Source organism: Homo sapiens, chromosome 12 (genome assembly GCF_000001405.40).
Source record: "Homo sapiens chromosome 12, GRCh38.p14 Primary Assembly".
NCBI classification, from domain to species: Eukaryota; Metazoa; Chordata; class Mammalia; order Primates; family Hominidae; genus Homo; species Homo sapiens.
In genome coordinates this window covers 51670957-51693619 of record NC_000012.12, presented here as the reverse complement: position 1 = coordinate 51693619, position 22663 = coordinate 51670957, and the positions used below count along the sequence as shown (strand labels likewise).

The following is a 22663-nucleotide window of genomic DNA, read 5'->3' as shown; positions in this document are numbered from 1 at the left end:
GTTGGAATGCAGTGGCTACTCACAGGTGTGGTCACAGCTCAACGCAGCCTCGAACTCCTGGGCTCAAGTGATCCTCTGCCTCAGCCTCCTGATTAGCTGGGACTATAGGTGTGTACCACTGCACCCAGCCTACAGTGATAGCTCTTGAAGATTCTTTAGAGCAACAGTAATTTGAAAGAGATTGGGGGACTCTAGATTTATTTACTCGAGACCTGATTCACATCACAAAGTGTGACCAAAACTAAACTAGCTCTCAAAGATGGGTCAGTGGGATCCTGTGAGCATTTAGTGTTTTTTCACTTAGGACCACTGTTAAACTTTATCTTTCCTAAGAAGCAATGTGGGAAAAGGAGAAATACAAAGGCAAGAGAATAACCAGAATAGTTTAAAAGAGACAATGAGTCAGGATATAGTCTTAAAACCGTTTATATCTCCCATCATTATGCAGCAGAAATTGCCACATTCACAAAGTATACGTTTAAAGAAAATGCTTTCTTTGTGAATACTGGGATGGGAAAAAGAAAGGCCTATCATTTTCCCTGCTTCCTGTCTGATCCCACTGGTTAGGAGTGAAAGTAACAGAAATGAAAGCTGAGAAATAAAATTGCCAAGAGAAAAATAATCAAGAAAGTACAATTCTAAAGAAGGTGGAATGAAATTAAATAAGTGCTAATGAGCAGCAGATAAGCAGTGCTTTGGGGGAGCCATTTAAATGACAGAAATGAAAAGAAACTGACAAGTGAGTTTCTCTCAACCAGTTCTATTAGTACTTATACTATTAAATGCTGCTAAGAAGAACCTGAGAAACTCTTTCGAGATTCCCACCCTTTCTTTGGGCATGTCAGCCCTGTGGCACATGATCAAAGCATGCAGAGGACAAAACTTCTGACAGAGTCACTTAGAAGTTCACTTTATGCGGGACTCAGACAAATACAAAGTGAAAACAAAGTTTTAAGACATATAAACTTTTAGGCAGAATATTTCAATGTCAAGGTGAACCTGACAAATTCCAGACTAAAGAAAATTTAGAAAGGGTCTCCTCTATAACCGACCCTTTTAGCACAGACCTTGTGTACACTGTTCTCCAAGTTGCTGCCTCTGGAGCAAAACGGAAAGCATAAATAGTATGTATCCAAGTCAAGTAAAGTAAAAAGGGTCAGAAGGTGGGTTTGGTCTTTTCTGAGCTACAAGAAAGCTGTAAAGCAAAGCATTTCTTACAGAAAAGGGCAGAGCTAACTGATGCACCTTACTGTCCAATCTTCAGGAGTCCTGGCGGCCCTGACATACTCAGAATATCTACCAAAGACACAAAGAGGAAGGACAGTATCAGCCCAGGTTGGGGGTGGGTGAGTGCTCTAGGAAAGGAAAAGCTCTCATAAAGGAAGTTGATACACAGGGAGCTTTGTGAGACCTTGCAGGCTCCAGGTCAGTGGTTGCTCTCACTTACATTCTATTTTTGGCACCCTTGGCAGTAGTCTATAACCAAACTGGGAAGAGGAGAAGACAAAGAGAACAACAATTCCACTGAAGTGATCCACGAGAAAACTTGGTATACAGAACAATGGTTTTTACTAAGGGGGAATCATGGGCCAGCTCTACCACACAAGAATCAAAATGACATACTTCCAAGCAAGAGATGGCCCAGATCCACTGACTCATACACTGGTGCTCCCGCCTTGGAAGGAGACTGCATAGCAGGCAGGTAGGAATAGCACAACAGCCCTCTATGGGAGAAAGCATAATCAGCAATTTCAGAATTTCCCATGGGATGAGAGAAAACTTCCCATGAGGGAAACTTCATTACTGGATTTCTCTTGCTAACTCTAAAACATAGAATCGGGAGCAAAAAGATTGAGACTGAGAGCCACACTTTTAATTCAAGAACCAAATATACCATTTACTGACAGTGATCTATTATTCGCTTTACTATCCCTTAATGTTATTTTCCACCCCAGTTAGCCTCCCAAAGCCAGCTCAATTGGGGGTGCTTCTAGAAATAGGAATCTGGGACTCTATTTCAAACTGTGAAGCTGATGTCTAAATCTTGATACAAACCCTTTCTATTGGCTTAGGTTTCTTTATAATCATAAGTGCTGCTACTACAATCATTTATGGAGCACTACTATGGGCCAGGCACCACTGTGTTAGATACTGCATATATTCCAGATATATATATATATATAAAGGATAAATAACATGACATATTAAGGATATATACAAAGAATAAATAACGTGACACCAATCAAGAGTTATCTTGCAGAAATGCCATGGTCAAAAGTTAACCATATAGCAGAGACAGAGACAGAAGCTATGAGCTAGACTAGAGACAGCATCTGCTGCCCTAGTTAGTGAATAGAATACAGCTTTCCAATTTAATTCTGGGAGAGAAGTTTTGAGATCACAGGAACATAAAGAGACAGATGCCTTGCAGAGTACGCTGAGGGAAGTGAGCAGAAAACACAAGATCATATTTAAAAGGGGCCAGAGGAGGAGAGACACCATAGGAAAAAGGAAAGTAAAGATGTGGCATTCCAGATGCCTCAAAAAATAAGACAGGGCTTGCCTAAAGATTAGGCCACCATCAATGAGCTATCTGAGGCTGTCTGGAGAATGAGCTGAGCTTTCTGTTAAGCAGATTTAAAATGGCTAGGAACTAAATCTTGGTAAGTTAAGGTTGTAGTTTTTTGCCAAGAAGTATATACTCCAACTGACACCCAGCCTTTGGTTGATAGGGAGTCAGCTACCATCGCTAAAAATATAGGAATTCATCTTTGGTAGGGCACTGATTTACTGGCCAACTCCATGGCCCAAATTTGTAAGTGGTGAAGATGAATTTACCTTCTTTGAGGTTCTCAGTAAACCACATTCCAGTCTGCCCTCTCCAGGATTCTATCTTTGTGCTTCCCTCTCTATCTGCTATTGAGATAATGTTAAAAAGGGGAAAAAGAAATATTTCTGGGCCAGATGCAGTGGTTCACGCCTGTAATCCCAGCACTTTGGGAGGCTGATGCAGGAAGATTGCTTGAGCCCAGGAGTTGGCAGCCAGCCTGGGCAACACATAGGGAGACCCTGTCTCTACAAAAAAATTTTTTTTTAAAAATGAGCTGGGTGTGATGGCATGCACCTGTGGTCTCAGCTACTTGGAAGGCTGAGAAGGAAGGATCACTTGGGCCCTGGAAGTCAAGGCTGCAGTGAGCCATCATCGTACCACTCCAGCCTGGGCAACAGAGTGAGACCCTGTCTCTAGAAAATAAAAATAAATTTTAAAAAGAGAGATATTTCTGAGTCAGCCACAAGGGGAAGAGCCACGTAATAGGAATAGGATAAGAATAGGATGCCTCTGTTCTTTCTCCACATTCCTATTTCTACGAAACTGCTGTGGAAAGCCTGGTCTCTACGGAGTCTTCCTTGAAAACCCATGACCACAACTAAAGTCCAAAGAGCAACAACACAGTCTTCACCTCTGCCAAGTTACTGCCAGTATATCTTAGGCTCACAATACTAACTAAAATATCTTTCCTTTAAGATTTCAAGACTGGTCTTTAGAAAGATAAGTATTACCCAGTAGCAATGATTTAAATTAAATTAAGGAATCTTAACCTGGGGTCCATGGATGGGCTTCGGGGGGGGTCTGTGAACTTTCATCTGATTCTCAAAGGGATCCAAAACCTTCAAAAGGTTAAGAACCACTGGGCTAGCTCAACCAGAACCAAAAAGAAAAAGGCACAAATTTTAAAGAGGTTGTCAATCAACTAACTCTCAACTCACCTACTGATTCTGTTTTTCCCCCTCAAACTTCTATACTTTTTGTTGCCCATACCTTTAGTTGTATCTTATCTTACCTTTGATTTTTTTTTAACAGTGCCTGCATAAGCTTTCATTGGGATTTATGTCTGAGAATGAACCCTGAATATGTACAGTAGATGTCTACTGGTTCTTATTCTAGTGAGACAGACAGCAGTAGAACATGATAGACAGTGATTATTTAAGTGCAGTTCACTAACTCCAAGTCTCTTAAATTTGTCTCTGATACTGGATTAGTTAACTGGGTAGATCTCTTCTGTGATTAAAAAATTTCATTAATATAGTAATAGTAAATGTATAATTCTTTGAATAACGTCCCATCAGCAAACCATGCGATAGGAAGCCTAGAAATCACAAGCAATGAAATGATGGCAAATGTCAAAATTACTGTAATTCCATGGAGCCAGGAAGCAAATGATTTATATACAAAGAGACAGCTAGCTCTGTGACAATTTTTTCAAATATGGTGAGATCCAAGTGATTCTTAAGCACGTGCTTTTTCAATAGCATGGATGGAATGGGGGCTGCATGCCTGGCAAGCACTCAGAGAAAACTGCCTGAGGACCCAACGGCCATTCCAGAGAATGTCTCCCAGGAAAAACATGCAGAATGCAAGGCCATTATCAACTGTACTGATGCTGCTTTAGAATGGTGGACAAAACGAATGGAGGAGAAAGAGGAGATGTGGCAAAGTCAGTCTTATGTACAAATTTTCTCACCTGGAATTACAGAGATAGTTTTCAAAGCTCGGAGAACCCTGAATGTTCTCAGCGCTGAGACATTGCCCAGGTCCACAAACTCTGTCACATATCTGTAGTAAGGGAGGTCACACACAGACACAAGTGACAAACACAGACACAAACACAAACACCAAAGGAAAAAACAAAACCACAACAAAACAAAAAGTACAATACGTCACGTCAGGGCCCTATCCCAACACCTAACACCAACCCCGGACCATCTTACCTGGGATTACCGAAATAGTTTTCAAAGCCCTCAGTACCCTGAAAGTGCGTAGAGCTGAAACATTGCCTAGGTTTACAAACTCTGTTATATACCTGCAGAATCAAACCAAAGTTAACTTGTAATGGTACCACTGGGCGAGGGTTTGAGAATGGGGGGAAGAAAGGGTCTTATATACAAGCTATGGTTTCATTTTTTTTCCTTGAAAAAGAAAAGCTTCAAAATACAAACATTTAAGGAACATTTGTTTTTAATTGGACAAGAAGAATTCAAAAGTATATTAGAAAGGAGGTTTTTGGGATTTACTCCTTTAATCAGCATAGTAATGTGCTGATCCCAATCAGAATGGCTTTACTGTCAGCCCATTCACATTTTTTAGTAAAAAGGAAGGCCAGGAGGTATCAAAGACTTATGTTCCCAGGTTTTGCGAACAATTTCTTAAGAGAGGGAGACAAATTTCTGCAGCAGGAGCCCCACAAAAACAAATCTACATTAAAGTAACTCCCTAGTTGACAATGGCAAAATTGACTAAATGTCTGTATATATGACTTAATCAGGAGTTGTAATCATATGATTGTAGTCATGTCTATAAACGAAGTTTTGGCCTGTGACATACAAAAGCAGGGCTCAGGAAAATCCAAATCATGGGATCAGAGCAAATATTGTGTTAAGTGCTCATTTTAATTACAAGCTCTGTGCCTAGCAAGGACACTTAAAAATTTTAAATGAACACTAATGTGTATTCATAATGCTAGAAAGTAAGACATTGCCTTTATATAACAGAAAGTCAGTTTCAGTTTCAAGTATTCGATGCATATCATTTATTCACATTTTACAGTTGAAATACATCTTTCCACCAGATGCTCAGATCAATACATATTTAAATGCACTCTTTCTTACACATCATGCATACATGCAAAACCTATACACCACCCCCACTACACTCTCAAACCACAAAACGCTTTCCCAACCTGGAAATAAAAATATTAAAGCCTGCTATAACTCTTCTATCATCAGCTAAGTTTCCCAAAGATACATTTTTATTGCTAAAACAACACAAATGAGCAAGAGCAGTAACATACCAATGTGGAGTTACACTGATCTTGAGCAATAGTTCGAAATTCTGGTTAGTAACTCTTCAGGAAGTGCCAGTGTGGGTACCTTGGCTCATGTTTTGACTCTAAAATGTGCTCTGAAGTCTGCAACTCCTGGCCAGCCTTATTAAATTACATACGGTAAGACATACCCAGGAAACTAATTTTCAGCTGAAAGTTTACAACTAAAAAATTTCAAGTCTTCACAGAGGCCTTGTAATGATAGGTGTGCAAACCGTGATCGTTACAAGGAGGAATAAAATACGAGAGAGTGCCAATGGGAAATCACCTCCTCCTTTCTCTCCCAGCTGTAAAGCCTCTGCTTGCCTTCTCCCACATAATCACATTATCATCGCCTGAACCACAAGAGGCCCTCACAAGCAAGAATCATAGACATAAGCCCACAGGGCCTTACATGGTTATCCATTAATTCCTCATACAGCTGTGTCCACAAATGCACACCTACAAACAGACCCAGGAGTACAACTCCACACACAGAATCACACCCAGAACACCAATAAAGTAAGGGGAGAACTTACGCCATCATGATGACACTGAAATCTAACCAGTTCCATGGGTCCCGTAAAAAGGTAAAGCCATCTATGCAGAAACCTCTTGCAATGATTTTCACTAGTGATTCAAATGTATAAATCCCTGTGAACGTGTACCTGTCAAAGAAATGAATAGCTTGAGGTAATTTCTGGACAGAAACTTTAAATGAACCTTTTAAGTTAGCACTTGCCTGAAGTGTTGCTTCAACTAAGAGAGACAAAACAGAAAGGGCACAGCCAATGCAGCAGGAAGGAAGTGAGGAGGAGAAAGAAATGCTTTGAATGAAACTTACTGAAATGCACAAACTAAGACCTTTGGAATGTTGTACTGGGTCCTGAACTGTATTCCAAGGAAGTTAACTTTGCAGCTATCTAGTACATGATCATTTTGAAGAAGGTAAGGAGGCCCCCCAGAGCTGTTTTTAACCTTAGAGAAGTCAAAAAACAGGGAAACCTAAAATTGGAGAAAACAGTATCACCAGGAACTGAGGATACAAGATGGTGATGGGGCTGCAGGGCAACGGCACTGCCTGGCACAGGAAAGGGTGGAGTGAAGGGCAGTAATTTCTAGAGTTGACTTTTAGGGAGGGCTATTTCCTAAATTCCACATGTACTTTCAGCCTTCTCTGTGAAATAAAGAGAGGCAATAACTAATTTTTTTTCTCCTTGATGGGTAAACTGTGGCAAAGCAAGATTTAGTGACTAAAAATATTTAAAACAAACAAGCACACACATAAATGAGTTACTTACTCCACATTCTTCGACCAGTCAGGAGGGTTACTAAAAGTCATGAATACACAGTTGGTCAAAATAGTGCACATAATGATCATGCTAAATACTGTAGAGAAGAGTCAAGGGGCAATATTAAAATCTGGCCTGCCTTTTGTTTTCTCAAAAAACAAACACATTTCCATTGGGTATCAGATCTAAATCAATAACCTGAAAGGAGATGAAGCACAGAAGAGAAAAATGCAAGGTGACAATGAAAACTGTGGTCACCACCATAAACACAGCATGCCACTGTGAACTGTGGATGGATGGGGAAGGACAGCTATTCTCCTTCTTTCAAAAGGGCCGTCACTGTTCTACTCCCTTTGGATGAAACATGTTCCCCTAACCACTTTTCAGCTCAACTACAGACTAAGCCTCTAAATGTTTTTTGCACTTAGTATAATACCTTTGCACTTTCTCAACCAAAGTTGTCAGATAAGAAAATCAATTAAATCTATATGACTAGGTATTCATTTATTGGTAAGTTAATTATCTTATATAGCTAGTTATTTGAAAATCTACATGCAATGGTTCACTTTTTTTCCATAGTTGTTGTTCTTTTTTAAGAGACAAGGTCTCTCTATGTCATCCAGGCTGGTCTTGAAGCCCTGGGCTCAAGTGATCCTACATCCTCAGCCTTCTAAAGTGCTAGGATTACAGGCCTGAGCCATCATACCCAGCCTTCCCTAGTCCTTCTAAAGGGCTGAATTGTCTTTGGGGGCAAGGCATCAGCCAATACAGCCCATATGTGTTGAATATGTCCAATGTGGGAAACCAGCTGCGGCGTGTTAGGTAAAGATTTCAAGGACATCTGCACCACCACACTTCTGAAGACTAGGTAATAGAGCAAAATCCATTCTGAAAGTGTCCAGGAATGTTTATGGATAGCAAACCATACTGCCATTTCATTTCCATCCAGAATTTTTCTCAGGCCTTTCTGTTCTTATCTCTGAGAAAAATTAAACTATTTTAGGTCAGCACAAGTTACTCAAACTCTAATTGTCATATTAGACAATTAGAGCCAATTAGAGCCTGGGAGCCATATCCCACTTGCCACTAATTCACTCTCTCTTGTTAATGGCATTCACTATCTTTATTCTACCAGTGGAGTTTTAAAAAGAGAAAATATTTCTTACAGCTGGATTTTTTTTTCTTCATTACAGCTGGATTTGTCTTCATGCTTTTTGGAACCAGAAGAGAAAAAACACTCCATCTTCTGATCCAACAGAAAGGAAGAAGTCCACTGTGAATTATTTATTTCCTTATAAACTTTCAGGTTTCAGAAGTGTGTTGCTTCTAAACTACAGATTTCACAACCATGTTGCTAAATTCTCAAGAGTTAATAAAATGTGGCAAAAGCTTCTAAACCAATTCACCAAGTTGCCACTGCTGGCTTCCTCATCCTACTTGGAGGATACAGTAATCTTCGAAGCATGGGACTACATGCTGTTAAATATCGACCAGCCATGGAAGTTTCAAGCCACCATGCAACATCACTAAATCCATCAAATAATTTTTCATTTGCCACATGCACTCTCATATGTTAATAAGGTGTAACTCAGGCCACTTGAATAAATTGGCATTTTTCTATTTAAGGTGAGTAAAAATACCAGAAAAAATTCCTATTTATCCTACAATCTGCATCTAAACCTCTGTAACAAGGAGGTTATTTCATCTGAGAACTATCTCACTTTCTAAGCTCACTGCTCAAAAAATTTTTTAAAAATTCAAAGCTGATTTCTAAAGCATTCATCCAACTATTTGTAACTCAAGAAGGACTTTCAAAAACCTCTAATAATGGCTTTTAATATATTAAGCTGAATAGTTGGCCACAGAAAGAAATCACTGAAGTCTGAGTACTAAATAAAGTTAAGACTTCAACAAAGGTTATTTTAATTTGTCCATACAATGATACCAAACAAAATTTCAGATTCCCACAATATCATCCTAAGAAAAAAAATAATAATTTGCTGAAGCTTAGCTTGGGATGTGGCAGGAGTTCACTCTTAAACCTCTGACTGATGGGCTAGTTAACTACACTATCAGTAAAAAACTTAACATATAATCCAGTTGTCAAATATTGGAAAGGTAAACAAGCAACCATGCAATTGCCGCACTCACTCCACATTTGCCGAAAAGGATATGAATGTATCAAAATTTTAATAGCTATTCTTCTTATCAGGTTAAAAGGACTTAAAATGTACAAGGCAGGCGTGGCACTAAATCTGAAGAGAGTTTTCCCTCTGTTTAATACTACAAAGGTCTGTGGAGAAAGAAAGAGAGAGAAATTATTAAAGCATGGGTATGAGTCACCACATGAAACAATGATTTCTAGGTAAGGAATACATAAACTCAAAAGTCTTTAATACTTTTTACTTCCCAACTTGGTTTTTAAACAAGCAAACTTAACACAATGTTTGCCCCACCTCCCTCCCTCTGCCCTGCCCAGATTATAATACAAATAGCTGATGCAATCTTGGCAGTTTTACAGAATAAACTTGTTTCTTTCAGAAACAGGCCATTTGAATCATACCTAAGCTTCTATGCCAGCTCTGTACACGATACTGAAGTTCATTAATTTAGGATTCATTCACTCAACAAATATTGACTGGACACCTACTATGTGTCAGACAGTGTTCTAGGTGCTTGGGAATGGTCAGTGAACAAGATAGTCTTGGCCCGAAGAGTTTAAATTCTAGTGGGAAAGACAGACAATAAATAAAAACTGTAATGAATGAGTAAATCATATAGGCTGTGCTACACAGAAGATGACAAGTGCTATGGGAAAAGGAGGAAGAACAGGGAGAGGAAGATCAAGAATGCTGGAGTCAGGGGATGGGTGAATAAAGAGGCAACAGTTTTAAAGAGGTGGTCAGGATAAGCCTATTGAGAAGAGAGATTTCAGCAAAGACTGGAAGGAAGTGAGAAATGTTCTTCATTCAATCAATATTTACTTACCAATATTCAATCTGCTTTATATGGCTTTCAAGAGCCCCCAATATCAGCCTTGCCAAAATAATTAAATCATATTTCCCAGTATGAATGTTCCCATCTAGCCAAACTAGCTCATGTCCTCGGAACAGGTTCTCATAATTCATAACGTTGGCCTTTGTTTATGTGGCTCATTCTACCCAGAATGCCCTGTGTTCTGAATTCAATTGAATTAAAATATTTTTGAGCATCTATTCTGTGCCAAGCATTGTGCTAATTACCAGGACACAACACTGAATAAAACTGTACTTTTAGGGAAGACACATATGTGAGCTAGTAATTATGATGCAGGGTAAGTACAAAGTTCAATAACAAAAATATGCATAATGTATGAGAGGCAGCAGGAGGGAGAGATTTTTTTCCCCTTGGCTGGGAAATAAAAAAGAGAGTGAGCTGGGAAGTTCACAAAGGAAGGTAACTAATATTTGGAAGGGGCTTTAAAGGACAAACAAGAATTAAGAAAAATTAATTGGGCAGATTTAGTGAGAAGGGATGGAAAGGTAAGGGAACAAAAATCACATGTATGAAAGCATAGTAGCATGTAGCTGCAGGTTTTTTTTAGGGAATTGACCAGTAATTCAGTGTTGATGGAGAATAAAATAGGGAAGAGGGAGAGCAGACTGTGAAGCTGAGAGATGCAAGGGCCTACTAGACTGCAAGTTCCTAAGGAGACAGGCCAGTGGCAGATACACAGTCCTAACATCTCACTGTGTGAGTGAAAGAGCAAATGGCCAAATAAATGCTAGTCATTTTAAGTAGTTTTTTATTTTTAAATTTTGGAGCAATGCATGATCATAATTTTTTTAAAAGAAAAAAGGAACATAAGACCAAGTTCCATCTCATTACCTAATGATAACCTTCGATGCCAGTTTTTTTGTATATCCTTCTAGAAATTTTCTATGTAAATAAAAGCATACATCTATGTCCTTAAAAAGTCTCTCTCTCACATGGGATTGTTCCATAAATACTCTTCTGTACCTTGCATTAAAAAATGAACCTCCACAAAGAAGAGCCCAGGACCAGACGGTTTTGCTGATGAATTCTACCAAATGTTTAAAGAATTAAACAAACTCTCCCACAAAATAGAAGAGAACATTTCTAAACTCATTCTAAAGGCCAGTATTACCTTGATACAAAACCAAAGACATCATAAGAAAACTCTATACTAACATCCCTTATGAATATAGACACAGACAGCCTCAACAAAAATGCCAGCAAACCAAATCCAGTAGCATATAAAAAGGGTTGCACACCATGACCAAGTGGGATTTATCCCAGGAATGCAAAGATAGTTTAGCATTTGAAAATCAACCAATGTAATGCAACATATTAATAAAGGAGAAAAACCACATGATCATCTTAATAGATGCAGAAAAAAGCATTTGACAAAATTCAACACCTTTCATAATAAAAGTACTCAACAAACTAGTAATAGAGGTCCTTCTTAACCTGATACAGGTCATTTATGAAAAGCCCCCACCTTTTTTTTTTTAACCTCCATCCCCTACAATTAGGCTTTTGGTTCTTTGAGGGCAGGAACCAATCTTATGCTTCCCTCCACAGTTCCAAAATAATGATCAGCCTATGTACTCCCAATGCACAGTATTAGTGATGTTTTTTAAAGTTCTTTTCTTATCTTCTATTCTTTCCTTTCCTAATCTACCAGAGTCACGTCATTCTCTTCCCAATGGAAAAGTATTGAGCTAGATTCATTCTACAAACGCCCACTACACCATCCCTAGTGTTTGACATTGTACTGCAGTGAAATTCTTCCTGTAATGGAGCATACTGGTTCTGGTGGGATATGCTGCAGAAAAAGCCTAATCCTAAAAGCAAAGAGAAGTAGGAGACCTAGGGTTCATCTGAAACATATCGAGGGCTGAGCTATAGCTCTTCCATATCTTGGCTTCTCAAAGAAACAAACAGCCCAGGGCTTCCCCCAAACCCCTTCTCTGAAGTACTTGTACCTCTCTGTGTTTCTACAGCAACTCCCTCTATGAAAATAGCCTTTTAAATAACCTCCTCATTCAACCTCATGAGGTTCCCATGAAGTATGGGTGAAGGAGGAATTATTATCCTCTATACACTTAACAAAAGCTCAGGAGAGGAACACCACCTATCAAAGGTCACGCAGCAAAGAGCAGCATGTTATGCCGAGCTTCGAGCCTCTCAACAGCTTCCACTGTGCCAGATTGGGAGGCAGTTCAGTGGCAACGTGGCAAAGAATGAAGTTGGTGTGGGAGACAAATTCTCTGGTGAATGAGAAATTTGAGTCCCCGGGGTAGATAGGGCAGCTAAGCAACAATGAAAGAAGCACTGGCCCATGCCCCAAGACCTAAAAACCACCGGGCCAGGCCTTTACAATATCACCTACAAAACCTCTCCTTAGGAGACAGACAACAGGATTTTTATTTTTTATTTATTATTATTATTATTATTTTGAGACAGAGTTTTGCTTTTGTTGCCCAGGTTGGAGTGCAATGGCGCAATCTCGGCTCACTGCAACCTCCGCCTCCCGGGTTCAAGCAATTTTCCTGCTTCAGCCTCCCCAGTACTTGAGATTACAGGCACCTGCCACCACGCCCGGCTAATTTTTTTGTATTTTTAGTAGAGACAGGGTTTCACCATGTTGGCCAGGCTGGTCTTGAACTCCTGACTTCGGATGATCCGCCTGCCTCAGCCTCCCAAAGGGCTGGGATTAAAGGCGTGAGTCACCGCGCCTGGCAGGATTTTTTAAAGTAATGTACTCTATACTTTCCATTTTTCTTGTCTCTTGGTTTGGTCGTGATGGAAATATAGGTCTAGAGGTAGCATGGAGGGTATTTCCTATCACTGAATCAGTGCCTGCAGTGCTTGGCATACAGCAGGTGCTTCATAAATGTCTGTTGATTGGTTCATGAACAAATGCTTATGTTGTTTTAGGTGAGGGAAAAGGAGAAGAAGAAAAACAAAAGGAAGCCATTAGGAAATGGAAACTGTTACACCTTGGTTGAAGAAAAACTAGGAGGTAGGATTCTGAATTAGGATCAGTCATGAGCTGTCAAGTGGGAGACTGATGATTCTGGGGGAAACTAAGCATCTTTAGTGAATTCAAAAACTATGATTTTGTAAGCAGAAGGCTTTACTAAGGACATTTGATGTGTGAAATAGAAATTTCCTAATTAATTTGGGTACTGAGTGTTGCACTTAAAATAAAACTCATTTACCATCACCCCTTTCTAAATATTTACATCTTATATCTTCATCAAGTATAAAAACAGTTTTTCTGTTAACAAAAATAAACATCTAGCACACTAAACTCCTGAAATGAAGGTAAATCTCCCATACTTTAGTAGGAAATTGTATTACAATAAAACATGTTTTATTATTGAAATAATTAGATTTACAGATAATTTGCATGCAGTTTTTCACAATGGATCTTTTTTGAAAAGCAAGATAGTCCACCTATAAGTCCAGCACTTTGGGAGGTCGAGGTGAGTGGATCACGAGGTCAGCGGTTCAAGACCAGCCTGACCAATATGGTAAAACCCCATCTCTACTAAAAATACAAAAATTAGCCCGACATGGTGGCATGTGCCTGTAGTCCCAGCTACTCTGGAGGCTGAGGCAGGAGAATCGCTTGAACCCAGGAGGCAAAGCTTGCAGTGAGCCAAGATTGCACCACTGCACTCCAGCCTGGGCAACAGAGCGAGACTCCGTCTCAAAAAAAAAAAAAAAAAAAAAAGGCAAGATAGTCTTTGGACAAACACAAGTACTCAAAGCTTAGGAATTTCCCTTTTAATACTGGGGCTTGCAGTAGTTACACGAGAAAGAGATAAGTAATATACCCGGCACCAGCAAGCTTTTTCTGAAAGGGCGCAGGCAGTCAATACTGCAGGCTTTGTAGGCCATACAGTGTCTGTTAAAACAACTTACCCCTGTAACTGTGGTGTAAAAGTAGCCATAGACAACATGCAACCCAAGAAGAGTGGCTGTGTTTCAGTAAAACTTTATGGACACAGAAATTTAAATTTCGTATCATTTTCACACATCCAACCATTTAAGAATGTAAACTACTCTTAGCTTGTGGGCCATACAAAAACAGATGGCAAAACTGATCTGCCCCAGGGGATACACTAATATTAGTTCCTGACTAAGTCCAGACTGACTGCATAAGAATCATCTGACTAGCTTTCTATTTTGTCTTATCTTTTATTTTTATTTTTTGTAGAGACAGGGTCTTGCTATGTTGTCCAGGCTGGTCTCGAACTCCTGGCCTCATGCAATCCTCCTGCCTTGACCTCCCAAAGTGCTGGGATTATGATTATAGCTGTGAGCCACTGCACCTGGGGTGAGTAGCTTTATTTTTTTTTATTTTTTTATTTTTTTTGGAGACGGAGCCTCGCTCTGCTGCCTAGGCTGGAGTGCAGCGGTGTGATCTCGGCTCACTGCAACCTCCACCTCCTGGGTTCATGCCATTCTCCTGCCTCAGCCTCCCGAGTAGCTGGGACTACAGGCGCCCGCCACCATGCCCAGCTAATTTTTGTATTTTTAGTAGAGACGGGGTTTCACCGTGTTAGCCAGGATGGTCTCGATCTCCTGACCTCGTGATCCACCTGCCTCAGCCTCCCAAAGTGCTGGGATTACAGGCGTGAGCCACCATGCCCAGCCTAGGCTGAGTAGCTTTTTAAAAAACACAGTCATAAATCCCTTCTCCAGGTGTTCTATTAAATAAGTGTGCAGAATCCAGGAATCTGTGCTCACCAGATTTGGGGAACCACTAGATCATCTCTCAGGTCATGTGCTAAAACATTTGTGTTCTCCTTCTTCCCTGCCTCTGCCTAACTGTATGGCCTGGCTGGGCCACTGCATGTCTCTAGATCTCATTTTCTTCGTCTATAAAATAAGAGAGAGGGCTGCCTGATGGGCATACTCAGGTCCTTTCCAGCACTGATATCTGTAATTCTACGATTTAGAAAATTCACAGAGCATCCAGGATTAAGTGCAACAAAGCAGCAAACCATAAATTTGAGGAGAAAGCCTATTATTATTTATTCTCTCACATTTTATCCTTGTAGAACTCTCTTGAGTTAGTTATTCTGCTTCCTTATGTTGAAGTCTGTCAAGTCCAGGGTCAACAGTGCTTGATAGTACCATACTTATGTCAGCAGGGGGGAGCATAGAGCAGCCCCAAGGCAGAACTGCGTCACACAATGCTTTTCCCTGCACTATCTCCCCTACTTTTATCCCCTGTTCTCAGGAGAACAGTGAATATGGGAGAATGGAAAGGAATGACTGGTGATGGGTTGACTTTGAGAGAGATATATGTATATATGTTTCATATGGCTGATTAAACGTTTGTAATCATCGTTAAACTTCTGGTGGGAATCCAGAAAAGGACATTTGTCCTCTCTCGTTCAACACTACGCTCTAACGCCAGATCCTTCAAAGCCTAGATATAGTGGAAAGGACAGCAAGCTTTGGGTTTTTACAATACTTCTTAAACAACAATCACTTGGTGCCCATGAAGTCCAATAATATTTTACCTAATCTGTCTCAAATTAGATCTTTGTGAAGTAAATGAGTTAAAAGGGAAATTGAAATTGGATTGCGGTTACTGCCCAAGGGGAAATATCAGTTTACAACAACAGCCACTGAATGTGTTTCAGCACAAGGTCCATTAAGAGCGGCAGAACAGTTCTTAACGAGTTATGGCATGGAGTATTAATAAATGTGTCATGTGGCATAAAATGAGCCTTCTGAAAAGCACAGGCTTTTCATTTCTAATTAGCAATGTGGGGCTTGGAGCACACAATGTAGAAGCATTGCCATTGTTAACTCAGGGTAAGATATCTTCTCTTTGGGGCCCACTATTAGGGGAAGGAACACCGTGCAAGGCCAGGTAGAGCACGTCCATATGCATACCAAACAAATCCTAGCATACTGCAAATGCAAAACAATGAACACACACAGTCATCACAGGACTGCAGTACAGCTAGTTTATTAGCATGTCTCCACCCCATCCCAAGACTGAAATAATTTTTTTAGCCACACAAAAAGTGTAAATTAAAAAAAAACAGGATGGGCTCACATCTGTAATCCTGTAATCCCAGCACTCTTGGAGGCCAAGAAGGGAAGATCGCTTGAGCCCAGGAGTTCGAGATCAGCCTGGGCAACATGGCAAAACTCCATCTCTACAAAAAAAATAAAAAAAATTTGCTGGGAATGGTGGCATGTGCCTGTAGACCCAGCTTACTTAGGAAGCTGAGGTGGGAAGATCGTTTGAGCCTAGGAGGTTGAAACTGCAGTGAGCTCTGCTCTCCAGCCTGGGAAACAGAGCAGGACCCTGTCTTGGTAAAATAAAATAAAATAAAATAAAATAAAATAAAATAAAATAAAATAAAATAAAACAAAACAATAAAGGATGCATATATATGAAAAGACTTTATATAGAAGAGTACTCAATGCAGGGGTGGAGAATATCATAGAAGAGAAAGCTTCTTCGAGAAATATTTATTATCCATTCCCTGGTTTGCTGTGAAACACATGGCCCAGGAGAGCAGCTCTTCACTCAACCAATTCTCCCCATCCTGAGAGGTCAACATCTCAACTAGGGCAAAGGTAATCTGCAGGCATCTGATGAGCTTCTGGCTATAATGAACACCTAGGGGCTCAGAGGTTTAGCTAATCAACAAGAGGGCAGCTGGGAACCTTTGAGTCTATCTGACTATAACTATTACTGGCAATGACTTATGACTGTCCCTAGATCTTAACTGTTTTGATTTCTAGAACTAACTGGTCCTCTCATTTTTAGCCAACTTCTCTGGCCTTAAATTCTTGCCTGCCTAAACAAAATATATGTACTTTATTCCCCCAGGCCTATGCACCTCTTTCTGAACTAGGCAACTGGCCAGTTGTTCATTAATCAACAGCAATTTGGCATTCATTTCTGAGTATGCATACAGCCAATATAGCAAGCAACAAATAAGTGTCTTTTCAAAATTTCCCTGGTTTAATAACGGAAAATATAATGCAGAATCTAAACAGATTCTATATCAGGCTAGGAAGCTGTTCAGAAACAAATGACCTGTTATGTAAAAATGACTATGCCATGTTGAAAAGAATCCTGATTTATGCTAATCTGCCTAGTGAATTCCTCAAGTAAAATTACAATATAGGTTATATTATATAGCCCCAGTGTGTCCCAGGAAAGTCTCCAGCAAAGGCATAACTGGAATGCATTTCCAGAGTACCCGTGTCCTGGTACTATCCAGCTCCCCTTAGAAATACTAAACCAAAGCAGGACATAAAGACACCAGCAAAATTCTTCCCTAGGCGTGTACTTCTATTTGAGCTGTGTGATTATTTAGAACCATCATTTTCCACGCCTCTATTACACGATACTGAGAATGGAGCAAAAGAGACCACTAAATCCCGTATTTTAAAAATTCCTTCTTAGTAACCGATAATTTTACCTATGAGTCTATTTGAAGAAATAATAAAATTCAATATTTATTAAGCATTTACTATGTGGCAGGCAGGCACCCTACTAAGATACTTAATATAATAATTGTCTCACAACTACTCTATGAGGTAGGTACTATTTTACAGATGATAAAATTGAGGCAGGAGGTTAAGTAACTTGCCCAAGACAACACAGCTATTATGTGGTGAAATTTAGCATTGAACTGAGGCAATCTAACTACAAAGCCTATACTCTTAATTATCAAGGCATACTACAATTTTAAAAAGCTTCAAAACTATTACTCAAATCTAACTATTCGTTTCACAAACAAGAAACCAAGCACAGAATGCTCTGCCCAAACTAAGGTCACAGCACTAGTGAGCAGGAGCGGGGCGGGGGAGTTGCCAGGGACTAGATCTCCCGGCTTCTAGTTCTAAACTCTTTTTACTGCACCAGGTCATCTGGTCCAACCCTCAGATCAATGAACGAATCTCCTCTACTTAATAACTTTAACTGTTGCAAAACGGAACCCCCTACATGTGCTGTTTATGGTCTTTTCTCCAAGTTCAGTTTGATGAAGATAATGCTAGCACCACATCTGCCTGTGGCTTTACAGTTTTCCAGGTGCTTCTGCATACACTTCTTCATTTGCTTTGACCTTGTAACCCCATGCTCTCCAACCTACATTTGGAGTAGCTGCCACCCTTCCTGCTCACGTTCTGGTCACAGGAAGCCATACCGGGCAGAGCAGCAGCACTGTGCACCTGCTTCAATGCTGAGCCAGCACAATGCTGCTTCCCAGGGCAGGGCAGGTCTGACCCTCCTCCATGGCCATTCTTCCTTGTTGTCCTTCGATATAAATTTGACTTTGATCACCTTCTACTTTAACCTCTTAAAGTGCACAGACTACAGTTGCTCTAAGCAAGAGCAAAATGCAGGCTTATTATGTAAAGCATATTAACCCCTCTATTTACTGAATTCATATTCTAGAATCTATTCTCACTCTCCTCTCTCTTAGAAAGCAGCAAAGCAGAGTGGTTTACAGGCTTTGAGGCCAGAAAGACCTGGATTCAATACCCAGCTCTGTCACTCATTAGCTGTCATGATCTTAGGCAACTTATGTTAAGGTTGCTAAGGCTCAGTTTTCTTATTGATAAAGTGGGTGCCATCAATCACTATTCCAATTTTATCAGGTTGTTATAAAGATTAAATGAAGGGTCACAAGGAGTCCTTAACACAGTGGCTGGTACAGAACAGGCACTCGTTAAATGTGGTTATGATGCTGCCACTGCTATCACACAGTACTGCCATTCCTTCAGCTCTTTGGCTCCAAACACGGAGTGGCCATTAGAAGACAAGAAGGGGCTGGCCAGGTGCAGTGGCTCACGCCTGTATTCCCATCATTTTGGGAGGCCGAGGCGGGTGGATTACCTGAGGTCAGGAGCTCAAGACCAGCCTGGTCAACATGGCAAAACCCCGTCTCTACTAAAAATACAAAAAAATTAGCCAGGCGTGGTGGCGTGCACCTGTAATCCCAGCTACTAGGGAGGCTGAGGCAGGAGAATCATTTGAACCCGGGAGGCGGAGGTTGCAGTGAGCCGAGACTGTGCCACTGCACTCCAGCCTGGGTGACAGAACAAGACTCTCTCTCTCAAAAAAAAAAGAAGATGACAAGAAGGGGCTAATATTTCTGTTAATTTGGATCCACATACTTGGCACAAGCCTGCAGGAAGGACACTTGTGCACAAGTTAGAGCAAGAATCCAGAGCAAGGCTGCACTAGCTCAAAATGGGTCCCAAAGGTTATTTCCAACCTGGGAACTCTGGAAGTGAGAGAAAACAAAACCCCTTAGGATGCACTCATTGGCTCCAACCTGCCTCTAGGCTTTATCTCCTGTCTTACCAAACCACACTCTATGCTTCAGTTACAGCTACACTCACTATTTTAAACAATTAAACCTGTGTCATGTCTCTCGGCCTTTATATGCACTGTTCCTCACACCTGAACTACTCTCTCATCTCTTCTCTGACAGGTGAATTTTTTTTTAACCATACTTTAATATTTAAAGGTCCAGGTCAAAGATCACATCCTCTATGAAGACAGCCCCATTCAACTCTCTTCAATAGAATTGTCCTTCCCTCCTGTGTGTCCCTATAACACTTGTACTTACTTCTATTAGAGCAGTTAACACAGAATATTGTTATTGAGGTTTACATACCAGTATCTCTCACTGGACCCTGAGATCCGTGAAGGGGAGGGGTTTATCTTCCATCTACTATGATTTTCTCAGCTTAGCAAGCACAGTACATAATGTGATGCCTATCTGGCACAAGGTAGACAGTTCATACATGTTTGTTGAATGTATGAATCTCTTCTTTCATAAAGAAATACTATAGCTAAAATCACCTAACCTTTAACTATATCCAACTTTCTTCTGGGTGCCCAGTTGAAGCTATACGGTCACTTTTCTACCCCTTAGCTCATCTACCCATAAAAATTCACTAATTTTAGTTTGAAAAGTCTTCTCTCCTTTTCTATGTCTCAGATACCATGCTGAAGGTATGGTATAAAACAAATGAACTAAACACAACAACATACAGTTGTTCCTCAGTATCCACGGGGAATTGGCTCCAGGACTCCCAGGGATACCAAAATCCACAGATGCTCAATCCCTGACATAAGATGATATTGTATTTGCACATAACCTATGCACATCAGTAAATTTTAAATCATCTCTAGATTACTTATAATACTTAATACAATGTAAATGCTTTATAAATAGTTATACTATATTGTTTGGGAATAATTACAAGAAAAAAATGTCTGTACATGTTCAGTACAGATGTGCTTTTTTCCCCAAATAATTTCCCCAAATTCTTAAATGTGGAACCCATGGGTATGGAGGGCTGACTATACTAACTTCATATTGAGGCAATGCAAAATGATAGAAAATTCTCTAAAAATGATAGGAAACAAAACCAAAAAAATCATCCTGCAATATGCTCTATATAGACAGCAGGGCATGGAAGAAAGACCATGAAGGTGAAATTCACAGATCCCTGGAACAGAAACCTGACTCTACCACATATTAGTTGAGGGAACTTGAGGAAGCAAGTTAATGTTTCTGGAGCCACAACTGTTTCATACTTGTGAAAGCGTGCATCATTATACTGAGATATCCCTAGTACTGGCAATCCTCAGGGACTGAAGAAAATTGGGGAGTCAAAAATGATATCTAGAATTTTGCTGGTGCCATCAACTAGGAAAGTAGATAAAAGAAGATAAGCAGGTTTGAGGGGAAGAAAATGAGTTCAATTCTGAATATACTGAGTAACCTGTGGGAAAATCCAGAAACAGATGACTGGCAAGGTGTTGAATATTTAAGGAACATTCTAGGCTAGGCTAGAGTCAGGAGTCCTCGAACTGAGGCTGGATGAGATCATCCAGGGAGAATGTGCCAACTGAGAGGAACATGGGCCAAGAACTGAATCTGGGGGAATATAAACATTTTAGGGAAAGGTTGAGAACATGAAAGAGAAGGAAACATTTGAGATAAAAAGAAAATTAGGCCAAGGAAGTAAAGAGATATAAGAGTCAGGGAATAATAAATGGTGTCAAACACTGCAGAGAGGTTTAGTGAGTTAAGAACTTAAAAAAAATCTTAGACTTGGCCATTTGAGATGTTATTGGGAAGATCTTATAATATCATGAAAGGGGTGAGGATGCAGTCAGGCTTCAAGGATGGAGGAGTGGGTAGATATGTGTATGTGGTGAGTAAACCCTCCTCTTTACAATTTTCAGTGGCATGGGAAGCAATTAGACTACCTGGGGACAGGAGGTCAAGTGAGGATTCATTAGGATGGGAGAGGCTTTGAGTGTGTTTACAGACTATGGGAAAGGAACCTATATGAGAGGAAAGACGGAAAATACAGAAAAGAGAAAGGGTAACCAAAGGAGTGAAATTCCAGAGGAGGTAGAAAGGCACAGGGTCAAAGACAGGGGTGAGGGATTGGTCTTGAACAGTAGATGGGGCACCCTATTCTCTGAAATCAGCAGAATCTTTTATTCCAACTTGGTTCCATAGGCCAAACTTTGCAGGCTCAACAGTGTCTGGAATAGAAATGCATCTTCAGAGCTTGTATCAAAAATTCTTCTGGTAAAATCAGAGTTAGCAGAAATTGTCATATGATGGGACAATCCTGATCTTAAGTTGTGTCAAATAGTGTTATATGTAAAGAAACATTTACAACTCATTTGTCAATTTGGAAACAATTCAAAAGAGAAGCATCCCTCTGTAAAATAATAACACAGTTTTCTCTCCTTAACTAAGAAAGCACTTAAAATATGTTTAATTATTGTCAGAGATGATCGATATTATCATAATCTTGAAACATTCTTTAACATTTAAATGGCCATTATTAAATAGTCCCATTCCACAGGTAAATTTTTGTTATGATAAGATTGCACAAATCACACCCTGGAGAAACCAACAGAAACTAATTCCTAAAATTACCAATCAGTGGAATTTTATGGCTGAGGTGACTGGCTAATAACACACATCCTAGAATTCAGGTAAAAGCTGTCTATGTCTATACCCTATGTGGCTCAGAACTATGGAATCACAGCTTAGTACCTGCATGAGAACTTAGGACTGGAGAAAATTGCAAACATTATTGGGAACACAGGTACCCTCCATATCTAACCCGAGTTAAACCTGGAGAAAATGCTGGGTTTCTTTGTAAGCACCCCAATAGCTCACACTGATGCTCAAGTATATTTTATTTCTGTCTGTGTAAAAATCCAAGAGGGGCAAATGCTCTCAAAATTGGCTCTTTTAAAGATTATAATTTAGTACTTGCTGAAGTCCTATTTAAGATACTGAATATTTGAGAGACCATATAATCTTTGATTCTTCTGGATTCTCCAAGTTTAGTCTCTGTACCAAATTAGAGCACCATAAGCCTCTAAAGTAGCTGGAACATGTTATCTTCATTAATGCACGTATCATTATCAGTAATAATTTTATTTCCGTATTTGTTTGTTAT

General features: G+C 40.0%; 1 protein-coding gene across 4 annotated transcripts in view; it reads right to left on the bottom strand.

Moving 5' to 3' along the window:
• SCN8A (sodium voltage-gated channel alpha subunit 8) overlaps positions 1 to 22663 on the bottom strand; it is a 221632-nt gene that overhangs the window by 119245 nt on the left and 79724 nt on the right. For 2 of the 4 annotated variants that reach the window (NM_014191.4, NM_001177984.3), the window contains exons 3-6: positions 9328 to 9446; positions 7163 to 7252; positions 6401 to 6529; positions 4771 to 4862 (exon numbers count right to left, since the gene is read on the bottom strand). In NM_014191.4, coding sequence (NP_055006.1) covers positions 4771 to 4862; positions 6401 to 6529; positions 7163 to 7252; positions 9328 to 9446 — 430 coding nt within the window. Of the gene's footprint in view, positions 1 to 4523; positions 4616 to 4770; positions 4863 to 6400; positions 6530 to 7162; positions 7253 to 9327; positions 9447 to 22663 lie in introns of all 4 variants that reach the window. The other 2 variants (NM_001330260.2, NM_001369788.1) reach the window with 1 other exon arrangement.